Source organism: Homo sapiens, chromosome 1, assembly GCF_000001405.40.
Source record: "Homo sapiens chromosome 1, GRCh38.p14 Primary Assembly".
Classification (NCBI taxonomy): Eukaryota; Metazoa; Chordata; class Mammalia; order Primates; family Hominidae; genus Homo; species Homo sapiens.
Genome location: NC_000001.11, coordinates 14,338,419 through 14,351,803, shown reverse-complemented (window position 1 = coordinate 14,351,803; position 13,385 = coordinate 14,338,419). Strand labels below are relative to the sequence as shown.

Sequence of the window (13,385 nt, the reverse complement as noted above, 5' to 3'; positions counted from 1 at the left end):
TCAACAAGTATATTGCATACGGGGTCTAGCTGCTGGTCCGAGTGTTTGCTGTGGGGTAGAGCTCAGAAGTGAGAGTACTTCCCTTGAGCCTACAAAGAAAGGTCTTCAAAGGGCTGTTCTTTGTTTGGAGGGACTAGCCTGCAGCGTCCCTCAGCTTATTTCCTGGCACAGATGATGGCCCTGCCTTTGTTTATAATGACCAAGTCTTTGGTTCTGATGTTTTGTTTGTTTGTTTGTTTGTTTTTGAGACTGGAGTCTAGCTCTGTCGCCAGGCTGGAGTGCAGTAGTGCAATCTCAGCTCACGGCAACCTCCTCCTCCCGGGTTCAAGCAATTCTCCTGCCTCAGCCTCCAGAGGAGCAGGCATGTGCTGCCACACCCAGCTAATTTTTGTATTTTGTTTTAGTAGAGATGGGGTTTCACCATGTTGGCCAGGATGGCCTCAATCTCCTGACCTCGTGATCTGCCCACCTCGGCCTCCCAAAGTGCTGGGATTACAGGTGTGAGCCACAGTGCCTGGCCTGATTATTATTTTAGAATTAAAATATCCCAAGTTTCTGAAGCGAGAAAAGCAGTTTCCCCTCTTTCTAGTGCCTTCTGGCTGCTGGCGAAATGATGAACATGTTGAGCTTTACAAGCCAGAGATTCGATGAGAACAGAAACACACCTGCCAGGAAAAGAAAAGGCTGCTTAGAGTGAGGATTCAGGACCTGGAGCCCACTCTGCGGAGAGGGACTGGGGTCAGGTCCTGATTGGCTTGTGCTCTTCTCTTTTACGCAGGTCTTATGTATCAACAAAATCACACCAGACCACCCAAAGCTGGCCCTGCCAACTGACCACACACACCCCTGCCTGAAAGGCATGTTTCAATGTGCAACAGACGCCTGCCACTCAGGGGACATCAAATGTTCATGAGAACTCGCTAACCTCGAAACAGGTGACTGTCAAGACTGGCTGAGGATTGAAACTCTGGGGAAATTTGCTAGAATATGTGTGGATTGCTGGGCCAGCTTCCCGATGGGCTGATCTTTAGGTGCCGGGCTGGGGATGCGCATTCTCAGCACTGCTGCTGGGTGGTTCTGTGAAGTAGACCCTTGGTAACCACTGCATTAGACCACCTAGGTCTCTGCCACTTCCACACTGTGGACACTTCGATGGATCATTCTTTGTGGTGGGCACTGTCCAGTGCATTGCTGGATATTCAGCAGCATTCCTGAACTCTTCTTGCCAGATACCAGTAGCACCCTTCCTGTCCCCTCCCATGTCACCATATGACAACCCAAAAGATCTCCAGACGTTGCCACATGTTCCCAGGCAGCAAACTCCCTTCCATGGTAACTACTGTCCTAGGCTGTTTACAAGGTTATTAGTGATGGTGACAGCCATAATGAGGAACCAGGCTCTGTGCCGAGCACTCACTGCATCTCATTCTGTGTAATCCTCATGGTCATATTCTTAGGCAATCTTTTCATCATTGTTTATAAAACTCAGAGAATTTAAACAGCTTTCCCAAGGTCATGGGTAATCAGTGGCCACAGCTTGATGCCTACCTCTGTTTGACTCCAAAGTGGACTCAGGGGTCAGATAGATCCAGAGGGTGACAGAAACCTCATCCTGGAGACTGGGGGTTCTTCCAAGGCTTGTTCTTGTCACTTTTTTTTTTTTTTTTTTTGAGATGGAGTCTTGCTCTGTTGCCCAGGCTGGAGTGCAGTGGCGCGATCTCAGCTCACTGCAAGCTCCGCCTCCCAGGTTCACGCCTCCCAGGTTCACGCCTCCCGAGTAGCTGGGACTACAGGTGCCTGCCACCATACCTGGCTAATTTTTTGTATTTTCAGTAGGGACGGGTTTTCGCCATGTTGGCCAGGATAGTCTCGATCTCCTGAACTCGTGATCCGCCCTCCTCCGCCTCCCAAAGTGCTGGGATTACAGGCGTGAGCCACCGCACCGGGCCTCTTGTCACTATTTAACAAAGCATAATGGCTCCTCTCTGCCTACTCTACCAGATCCATGCTCTTTAGCCTGCCAGGCCAGGCTGTCCCTACCTCACATCCCCTGATCAGCTACATTATAATCTAAGGCCTATCTCCTCTTTAACCCTGAACGTACCTTGCTCATTTTCACTGTAGGGCTGTTTCTTTCATTCAGGGGTCTCAAACTCAAATGTCTATAGGGGCCTAGAGGGTAAATTAACAAACAAAGTGGGCTCAGTGCAAGATGATAAATGGCAATGGATCTTTCAGCCTCATTTGGAGAGACCTTGGGAATGGTGAGGACTGTGACCTCAGTGGAGCACCTACTTTACTGAGACAGGGCAGCTGCTTCTCCATCTTGCCCTGTGCTAGTCTTGCTGGATATTTTATTTTTCAAGAAATAAAATATGGAATGTGGAATAATATGTGTGACTTATCAATTTTTAAATTTTGGTAGGTTCTACAAATTCAAAAAAACCACCCGTGGCCTGGCTCTGGGCTGAAGCTGAGTCCTGGCTTGAAATCCCCTGCCTTAATCTCTCTTCGAAGACTTTTCTGCATTCATCTGAGTCCTCATCCTCCAAGGCAGGGCTCAGGCTTGGGCTCAGGCTCCCAGCCATGTATCCCTCCTGGACCATTCCTGACTCCTTTCCAGTATCCTTATCACTTGTACCACATACGTTGGCCTTTGATCCTGTGTACTGTTGGATTTGTCTTTACTTCACAGGTTCATCTTGTCTCCCCAAGAACAATGAGAGTTGCCTCAAGGGGTAGAACCATGCTTTTTGTTTTCTTTTGAATTCATTACAGCACAGCCAAAAGCTCAACACACAAAACACACTCAGTAAATATCTGTTGAACAGAATAAAAGCCATTCCGCATAACCAACCCTGATCTCTTTTGCTGGACTGTAAACCAACCTACCTATTGTTAGTCCTTCACAGATTATATGGTGGATCTGAACACATCAGGTAGAACCTTTGATAAACTTAAAGTCCTTCATTGAATCACTCTGTAGCCACTGTTTTCTCTAGGACAAAAGCTTTAAATATTTTGAGAAAATTGTACAAGACCATCCATCCTGATTCTCATGGCTTTGGTTGTTCAGAAAGGAAATCTTTGTACACACACCATTTCACTGCCTCCTTTTCAGTTTCCCAATTTGGAAAAAGGAAAAATGTGAACTATCCCCCTCTTCGCGTTCTTTTCTAACTGAAGTGATAGATTTCAGAGTCGTATAAAGCTAAGATTATCGTTTATCATATCTCAGATTCAGGGAGGTGGTTAGCATGCCAACGTGCAAATCCCCAGGCAACTGTGAACAGCCATTTGGAGAATCCACCACATGGAAAATCCTCCAGGTAAGTGCAAATGTTACTTATAAATAGGGCTTTGGCTCAAAATCCCTATGGTCTTAACTAGGTGTGAGCTATGTGCATGTTTTAGTTTCTAATTTTTCTTTTCTTGTTAAGAAGTAGTATATGGGTTAGGCACAGTGGCTCACACCTGTAATTCCAGCATTTGGAGAGGCTGGGGAGGGTGGATTGTTTGAACTCAGGAGTTCAAGACCAGCCTGGCCAACATAGTGAAACCCCATCTCTACTAAAAATACAAAAATTAACTGGGGCAAGGTGGCGTGTGCCTGTAATCCCAGCTACGTGGGAGGCTGAGGCAGGAGCATCACTTGAATTCAGGAGGTGGAGGTTGCAGCGAGCTGAGATGATGCCACTGCACTCCAGCCTGGATGACAGAGTGAGATTTCATCTCAAAAAAAAAAAAAAAAATTAGCCAGGTGTGGTGACACCCACCTGTAGTCCCAGCTCTCAGGAGGCTGAGGTGGGAGGATCACTCGAGCCTGGGAGGCAGAGGTTGCAATGAGTCAAGATCATGCCACTGCATTCCAGCCTGGGGTGACACAGTGAGACACTGACTCTAAAAAAGAAAAAAAAAAGAAAAAGAAAAAAGAAAAAAAATAGTAGTATATGCCCATTGTAGAAACTTCAGGAGACACAGATAATCAAAGAGAACATAAAAATAATCTGTAGTTCGACTATCCAGAGAACTACTCACTTTGTAGGAGTCATACACTCACACACACACCCTTTACATAGTCTAGGTATCATAATATACAACATATAATGTATATATAATGTATAATATATATTCACACACATAACTTTTCATACAAATGGACTCATTGTATACACACTCTTTTGACAACTGCAGAAGCAGCCAGGGTTCTGTGGTTGTAAGTAACAGAAAGCCATTCTGCCTAATCTAACAAAAGAAAGCTATGGGCAGGATACCAAGATGGTTTAAAGATTCAAATACCAATTTAAACAATCCAGCCTTGGGGAGGCTGGGGACCCGGGTGGATCTTGGAATCTAGGTAGCAGGTCAGACTCTTTAGCGTGTCTTCATTGGGAAGACTCAGTTCCCACCATTTTCTGGTAGGGCAGGATTCCACTCAAGTTCTGAACTGCGGAGAGAGGTCTGATTGGAGTAGCTGGGTCGTGTGCCTGGACTGCTGGTATAGTTGTCCATGTTATGTGCTGCATAAGCCTTGGGAGCATGCTCATGGTAGTCTGGGATTGTGCAGTGCCCAGCCAGAACAATCTACGTGATAGCCCTTACACATACACGTCCATCCTTGAATAATAGCCCTTCACAAGTTGCTGGGATAGGAGCGGGAACATTCCCCAAAGCAAAGGTGTCACCCGTGGAAGGGTGAATAGATGCTAGGCAGGCAGAAACAAAAGATGTCTTCTACATCTATTTCCCTGAACATCTACATCTATTTTCCTTTATCTCATGGTCATCCTTGATGTAATGTTGTATTTCCTTCCCCATAGCAGTTTTTTGTAGGTTACATAATATTCTGTGATATGGCTATACCATACTTTATTTAGTATAATTAGATATATTGTTGTCTGTGTTGTTCACAGCTCTATCCTAAGCACGTAGGATGGTCCCTGGCACAGAGTAATGCCCAATAAATATTTGTTAATTTAATTGTTTTCTAATTGTTTGGTATTATATAGTGCCACCATAGACACCTCACAGGTAAATCTTAGTGCATATGCATGATTATATCTAATAGGGTGAACAACTTATTTTGTTTGCCTGGGGCTTTCTGAACATCCTGTGTCCTGGGCGCCACCTCAATCCTGGGCAAAGGGAATCATCCTAACATCTAAGTACCCTGCTCTGATCTGAGCGCTGGAAGTCATATCTTACTGATACAGAGGGGAGGTATAGAAAATTCAACCCAAGGAAGAAAGAAGCCTACCCAAACCACTGAGTATCGACTGCAAACCACTCTCTATCTACCTCCTTCTTTGTGCTCCTACTCTTATCTTGCCAAGCTTTCCCAGGGGACAGTCACATCCTCACCCCAGGAGGGCTGAGAAAGAACACCGGTGCAAAGGAGGGCACAGGTCAGCAAGAGGGATTCGCTTCTGTCCCCAGCTATGAGTCATCATCCTCATCCTTTTAGTCATCCCCTGAAAGCTGCATGCTGTAATTTGGTGACCGCCTTGTGTCCTTGAAGAGCATTTTCGAGCCAAAACTTTTCTTCTTCTTCCTGGGGCAGACACTGAGGTCAGTGGTGGGAAGAGTCTTGTGCATTTTCATGTACAGTAACAAGCCACACAGGAAGTACCAGGAATTCAGCCCAGCTAGGGTCACTGTGAGCCCAAAGTCTGCCTGGACGATGAATGCCTGATGTGTGGCCACTCCTCAGAAGTGCACAGCAGGAAACTTCTAGTGGCCAATGAGCAGTGCTACATTTTTCATTCATGTACTTTCTGCAAGTTCACCTTTTACTTTTATCGAAATGACACAAATATTAGTACGATAAGGCTTATAACAAACATCATGGTCTCCTGCCCCCTCCTCTCACACCTGACCCTAACTTCCCTGAGAGAACTTCTTTTTGCTCTTTTCACTCATGTTATTTCCATGTTTTCAAATAGTATGCTTATCCCTCCATGTGTTGATTTTAAAAATTTAGGTATTATCCAGCACAGTGGTGTTCAAAGGATGGTCCCTGGACTGGCAGTGTCGGCATCACCTGGTGAGTATTGATCCACTTATTCACTCATGTATTCTTTATTTTTTTAAAAAACAAATGTTTACTGAAGGACATCATAATCTAAGCGTTGTCTAGGCTGGCACGTTCCAAGACAGTCATCATCAGCCACAGATGACTTCTGAGCCCTTGAAATGGGGCTGGTGTGCACTGAGCTGGAATTCTAAAATACACATCCAATTTTAAAGACACAGTGTGAAAGAACAGGAATGTAATATATCTCAATGATTCTGAGTTGATACGATTATATTTTTATCATACTGTGCTAAATAAAATATGCTATTGAAATTAATTCCATCTGTTTCTTTTTTTCCTTTTTGATGTGGCTACTGGAAATTTTTAAATGACATTTCCAGCAAACAGAAATGCAGATGTTTAGGTCTCTCTGACCTTCTGAATCAGAAACTCTGGGGGCAGGCTCTGCCCATCCAGGTGTGAACAAGCCCTCCAGCTGATGCTGACGCTGCTAAAGTTTGATAACCACTGGTTTACGCCTCTGCAGATAACAAGGATTTAGAAGAGGGGATGGGCCTGGCGTGGTGGCTCATGCCTGTAATCCCAGCACTTTGGGAGGCTGAGGCAGGCAGATCACCTGGAGTCAGAAGTTTGAAACTAGCCTGGCCAACATGGTAAACACCATCTCTACTAAAAATACAAAAATTAGCCAGGTGTGGTAGCGGGTGCCTGTAATCCCAGCTACTCGGAAGGCTGAGGCAGGAGAGTAGCTTGAACCCTGGAGGCGGAGGTTGCAGTGAGCCGAGATCACGCCACTGCACTCTAGCCTGGGCGACAGAACCAGTCTCCATCTCAAGGAAAAAAAAAAAAAAAGAAGAGGGGATGGCAATGGTGTGTGTTTGTGTTGAGTCCCTGAAGCTATGTCCACCCGTGAACTCTCATTTACATGAGTTAAAAAAATCTTTTTGCCTTAACCTAGTAGGAGTTTTGTCAGCTTGAGTCCTGACTAGTAGAGACCCTATTGACAATTTGTCTTTCCCTGAATTGTCCTCTCTTCTCCCAAAATTGTCTAATTTTGATGAGTTCTTCCTCACCTCCCTATTTAATGGGATGTCTCTCCCCTCTTAGTCTCTGGCCTCCTTTCCTGCTTTATTGTTCTTCCATAGCATTTATCACAATCTGACATGCTATATATTTTAATCCTTTTTTTGAGGTCTATGTTCTCTCCATTAGAACAGAAGTTGCATAAAAATAGGAGTTTTTATTTGTTTTGCCTTCTGCTATGTCCCCAACACCTAAACCAGCACTGTTTGACCAAATCTATCATTTAAAAATTTCCAGTAGCCACATCAAAAAGGAAAAAAGAAACAGATGGAATTAGCATATTTTATTTAGCACAATATAATAAAAATAAAATTATATCAACTTGTAATCATTGAGATACATTTCTTTTTTTTTTCACACTATGTCTTTAAAATCAGATGTGTATTTTATAATTCCAGCACATCTCAGTGTGGACCAGCCTCATTTCTAGGGTTCAGTTGCCATCTGTGACTGATGGTGACTGTCTTAGAACATGCCAGGCTAGTTTCCTTCAGTAAATATTTGTCAAAAAAAAAAAAAAAAAGAATACATGAATGGATAAGTGAATCAATACTTCTCTGGAGGTTGGAATGCCCATAATAGGCAGGACAAGATCTTGGAGCATGGCACATTGGCATCAAGGGGAGAATGAAGGTTTTGATAGATGAAGCTGGAAAGATGGGTCTCCGGTTCTGGATCTATCACCTAGCAAGAGAAAGAACTGCCAAGTTGACACAAACTTAGAAACTAGTTTTAGTACAATGCAGCTACAGTGGTTAAGGTTTGGGACTTTTAAAAAACAAAATGGGGACCCAATTCTTTACATGAAAATGTTGCAATGTGTTTTTAATTGGATGAGTTTGCCGAAGGAAATGAAAGGAGAGAGGCTGCCCGCTCATGTTAAGTGCCTCAAAATGGGTCTCAAAAGCAATTAAAGCTAAAACTAATTAGCAGAGGAATTAATTGAAAGGGAGATTTTAAAAATTCGATTTGTTTGCAAACCATTTTAGGCACAAAATTCAGTTTCGTATTGATTTCGGGTTCCAGTCTGAATCAATAAAAATCAAACATGGTTTTCAAAAGTAGAGTTGTCAGGGCCGAGATGATGATCCTCTTTGAGGGCAGTTGGTTAATGGCCTGAGGTTTTAAAAGCATCACACATGGTGCCACAGGGAGGTGGAAAACCCTGGAGTCTGCACAACTGGATGATCACCATGGAGCTCCATCACCTACATCTGCGTTGGCTGACCTTCCACTGCATAGCTCTCGACCAAGGAAAAATTATCTTTCACTTCTGCAGTCAAGCGTTTCAGTGGAAAGTAATCTCCATTTATTTGTGCCAATTTTCCTAAATTGCTTGAGTGTGGCAGGAAAACGTGAAGTGGACTCAAATCGTCTTTCTGATCTTTTTTCCTCGATGTTTTCCCTTATCCCACCCTCAACTATCAATGCTCTCCCAAATTGACGGTTTTGACTTCCATCAGAAAACAGCACTAGGTGGGATGTGAAATGTGCCAGCTACATACGAAAGTTTTTTGTTGTTTGTTTGTTTGTTTGTTTTGAGATGGAGTTTTGCTCTTGTCTCCCAGGCTGGAGTGCAATGGCGCAATCTCGGCTCACTGCACTGCAACCTCCGCCTCCCGGGTTCAAGTGATTCTCCTGCCTCAGCCTCCTGAGTAGCTGGGATTACAGGCGCCTGCCACCACGCCAGGCTAATTTTTATATTTTTAGTAGAGATGGGGTTTCACCATGTTGGCCAAGCTGGTCTCAAACTCCTGACCTCAGGTGATTCTCCCAACTTAGCCGCCCAAAATGCTGGGATTACAGGCGTGAGCCACTGCACCTGTCACTACATACAAGAGTTTAATGGACACAAGCTTATAAAAAACCTCATCCGATAAGGACAAGTGCAGCTCCCTCAGAATGTTCCCTCTGATGGCCCCCACAAGGTGTTTCTGAATGTGCTGACTTGCCTCTTGTCTCATCATCTCTTAAGGGATCCACATCCTCCCCCAACCTCTTTCTCCTCACCTTCTTCCCTTTCTTTTTTATTGTTTCTATTGCAGGCGGCATTTTTTGGGCCCTTTCTGTGTGCCAAGCATTGGGTTCGGCACTCAGTGCCAATTATCTCATAGCATTCATTTATTGAAGGCCTACTCTGCAAGATATTGTTCTAGGCACTGAGGATATGGCAAAGAACACAACAGTAAAATCTCTGCCCTCATAGAGTTTGTATGCTAGTGAAAAAGCAAGAATACGTGCCATAAATTAGTACAATACAGATTGTCAAGACAGTGTGGCAGTTCCTCAAAGGCCTAAAAATAGACATACCATTCAACCCAGCAATCCCATTACTAGGTATATACCCAAAGGAACAGAAATTGTTCTATAATAAAGGCACATGTACATGTATGTTCATTGCAGCACTAGTCACAATAGCACAGACGTGGAATCAACCTAAATGCCCATCAATGGTAGACTGGATAAAGAAAATATGGTACACATACACCACGGAATGACTACTATACAGTCACAAAAAAGAACGAGATTATGTCCTTTGCAGGGACATGGATGGAGCTAGAAGCCATTATCCTTAGCAAACTAACACAGGAATAGAAAACCAAATACCACATGTTCTCATTTATAAGTGGGAGCTAAATGATGAGAACGCACGGACACATGCATTGGGAGCAACAAACACTGGGGCCGATTGAAGGGTAGTGGGTGGGAGGAGGGAGATGAGCAGGAGGAATAACTAATGGGTACTAGGCTTAATACCTGGGTGATGAAATAATCTGTACGACAAACCCCCATGTCACAAATTTACCTATGTAACAAATATGCACAAGTACCCCTGAACACAAAATAAAAGTTAAAAATAATTTTCAGAATAGGCTTAAAGAAAACAACAACAAAAACAGCTTGCCAGGAAGTAGTGAGTATTAAGCAGACTGAGGCAGGACATGGGGAGAGCAGGTGTTGGTTGGGAAGTGGGCAGATTGGAACCCCCATATGGGTGCTAGGAGGGCCTCCCTGCAGAGGTGGCATCTGAATAAAAGCTGAAGGAAGTGAGGGGTCAGCCATGTGGATGACTGAGGGAATAGGAACCAGGGTGGAGAGAGCAGTCTGTGCCAAGTCCTGAGGCAGAAGCAACCCTGTGTGTTTGCAGAGCAGCCAAGAGGCCTGTGTGGCCAGACAGAAGTGAAGGAAGGACAAGTGGGACACAAGGACAGTGGTGCTGTGAGATCTCAGGGGGAGTGTCAGGACTGCGTGCGTTGGGAGCCACTGCAGCACCCTGAGCCCAGGAGCTGCAGGATCTGACTTAGGATTCAACAGGATTGCACTGCCTGCATTTTGGAGAATGGAGCAAGAAGGGTCAACTGCAGGTGCCTGTCACATCTGATAAATCACACTTGAGATCATCATCATCATTTCCCCATTTTACAGATGAGTGCCTAATCTTTTTAAAAAATAAAAGGTAAAGCCTAATCTTTTTTAAAAAATAAGGAAAATCAGCTGGGCACGGTGGCTCATGCCTGTTAATCCCAACACTTTGGGAGGCCAAGGCGGGTGGATCACCTGAGGTCAGGAGTTCGAGACCAGCCTGGCCAACATGGTGAAACCCCCCCCAATCTCTACTAAAAATACAAAAATTAGCTGGGCATGGTGGCGCATGCCTGTAATCCTAGGTACTCAGGAGGCTGAGACAGGAGAATTGCTTGAACCCGGGAGGCAGAGGTTGCAGTGAGTCGAGATTGTGCCACTGCACTCCAGCCTGGGCGACAGAGTGAGACTCCATCTCAAAAAAAAAAAAAAAAAGGGAAAATCATGACCCTTACGGAGATATAAGATGAACATCTGATAAACATTTTCATTTTACTCATAATGAAGGAACCAAGTAATTGTTTTAACTGATTCAAAGGAGAAGTCAAAAAACAGACACACTTACAGATCAGGGATGCTGGAATAAATGGCAAATGAAGGCAAAACTGGCTCCTTCCACGGGACTTCCATAGAACAGAACGGAATTTGTATGCCTACAGACAGCAAGCATTGTGCCTTGTTATCAGTTATCTACAACTTGTATAAGATTAGAGTCAGATAACCTGCAGAGGTGTCTCTGTGACAATGCATAGCTTGGCACTGAAACACACATTTTTCCTTACAGAAGAAAAATAATCTCAGGCTTAAAGAAGTTAAGAAACATGGCTGAGTTGACTCAGTAACTGCCAGAACTGGGGGTTACACCCAAATTGTTGTGATTTCCAAGTCTGTGACGTCAATCTCTTGCTTTTACCAGGCTGACATCCAGTGACTTAAGAAAAACAGAGACCTACTAAAATATTTTCAGAGATCTGGAGAGCAGTAAAACTTGGTTATATAAAGTGATCTTCTCAAAAGAAACACATAGCTTAATATCCAAATCAACTAATATTTCCTGAATGTCTGCTCTGTGCAAAGCACAGAAATTGGGCACAGGGGACCCAAAGATAAATAAGAAGTAGCTTCCAATAAGCCAGCAATTTAATGATGCAAGAAACAACCCTCACACAGTGCGGATGCTCAGAACCCAGCATGCTGATGGAAGACCCTTCACTCTGTTCCCCGATTTTATAAGCTACATATTCCATAACAAAGAATATGAAACACCCAGATATGTAAATGTGTTCACTGTAATGCTAAAATCCACAGAAAACCACAGCTGGGGAACTTCAAGGTGAAGCATGGTGGGAGAGCTGCTTGAAGCAGCAGGGTAAGACGATAGGTAGCAAATTGGGTGGTGTTTTGTTAATATACAAGTTAAGCCCTTAAGGATAACTCATGGGAAGGGGGAAAGGCTGTATTTTCAGGGAAAAGCTGTTGCTACTTGTGATAGTTAATTTTATGTGTCAACTGGACTAGCTCATGTGGTGCCCAGATATCTGGTCAAACGTTATTCTAGGTATTGCTGCAAGTGGGTTTTGGATAAAACTAACATTTAAATTGCTAAAGTGAATAAAGCAGATTGCCCTCCTTAATGTGAATGGGGCTAATTCAGTCAGTTGAAGGCCTCAATAAAACAAAAGGCTGACTTCCCCCCACACATAAAAGAGGAAATTTCTCCTGCCTTTGAGCTCGAATATCAGTTTTTTTCCTGCTTTTGAGCTCGAACAGAAACGTCGGCTCTCCTGCGTGTCTAGCTTGCTGACTGCAGATCTTGGGACTTGTCAGCCCCTGTCATCAAGTGAGCCAATTCCTTACAGTAATAAGTCTCTTTTGGTGCATATACACATCCTACTGGTTCTGTTTCTCTGGAGAACTCTGACTAATGCTCTGTTCCACCCATTTGATTTTCTCTCCTCTCCTATGCCTAATACATAGGAGAGATTTAATTCATATTTATTAGAGAATCAATTTGCTCAGGGTCTATAGTGTTTCAAGAATTTATGTTTTGGCTGCTTTTTTCTCTTCCCCATTCAAAGAATGAGAACAGGAGTGTGTTCTGAGGGATGATAGCATTTGGGAGCTTTGAACGCCTGTTTTTATGTTCTTTCTTTCTGTGTTATTTCCTTTTCTTATTTTATAAAGAATCCAGTCCCCTCTTTCTCTCTGTCTCTCTCTCAGTCTCTGTCTCTCTCTGTTACGTCTGATCTTGTTTGTCTGTGAATCCCCACGAAAATCATGAGAGTTTCTTTTTTTCTTTTTTCAGAGTCTCTGGGCAATCGAACTGTGACATCTTCATCACATTGGTCCCAAGGATTGATTCAGCAATGTGCCCAATTAGGTGGGTGTCCCCTTCCATCATGGCTCTCCTATGTGGGTCCCTTCTGAAATAATGCATCCTTCAGGGTGCTTTCAGCTACGAGCAACATAAAACTCAATTAAAAGTGTGCTAGACAGAAAGGACATTTTTCATCTCACTTATGTACTGAGAAGTCTGAACATGGGATAAATCCCTGATTGGCTAATTTGCTCAATGACACCAACAGAAGACCTTGGTGCTTCCTACCCTGCCAGATTGAACACAATGGACTCCTCTTGGGATCACCAAGTTGGCTCCAGCAGTTTCAGGCTTTGCCCAGAGACATGACGACATACAGCAAGAAAAGGAAATTTCCTTCCATCGCCTCTCTTTTATTTCTGAGGACACCTTTCCCAGAAAATGCATAGCAGGCTTTTGTTTACATGTTTTCTTTTCTCTCTCTCACTCTCTCTCTCTCTCTTTTTTTTTTTTTTTTTCTCTAAGATGGAGTCTCATTCTGTTGCCCAGGCTGGAGTGCAGTGGCACGATCTGAGCTAATCACAACCT

General features: G+C 43.8%; 1 protein-coding gene and 1 long non-coding RNA gene across 7 annotated transcripts in view, besides 1 other annotated feature; one reads left to right on the top strand and one right to left on the bottom strand.

The window, feature by feature from the left end:
* The window catches only part of KAZN-AS1 (KAZN antisense RNA 1), a 71,019-nt gene extending 68,170 nt beyond the window's left edge, over positions 1-2,849 (top strand). The window contains exons 4-5 of the long non-coding RNA NR_149058.1: positions 779-935; positions 2,426-2,849. This is a non-coding gene — a long non-coding RNA (KAZN antisense RNA 1). The remainder of the gene's footprint in view (positions 1-778; positions 936-2,425) is intronic.
* Positions 1-13,385, bottom strand: part of KAZN (kazrin, periplakin interacting protein) — a 1,225,220-nt gene that overhangs the window by 766,240 nt on the left and 445,595 nt on the right. The gene's annotated exons all lie outside the window — the stretch shown is intronic.
* Positions 4,922-6,121: an enhancer, noted in NCBI's record as "CDK7 strongly-dependent group 2 enhancer chr1:14672178-14673377 (GRCh37/hg19 assembly coordinates)". NCBI's record gives its function as "activates an origin of replication core promoter dependent on BRD2, BRD4, P300/CBP, MED14 and CDK7 cofactors, with strong dependence on CDK7, by STARR-seq in HCT116 cells {active_cell/tissue: HCT116}" and the evidence as "EXISTENCE:reporter gene assay evidence [ECO:0000049][PMID:35650434]".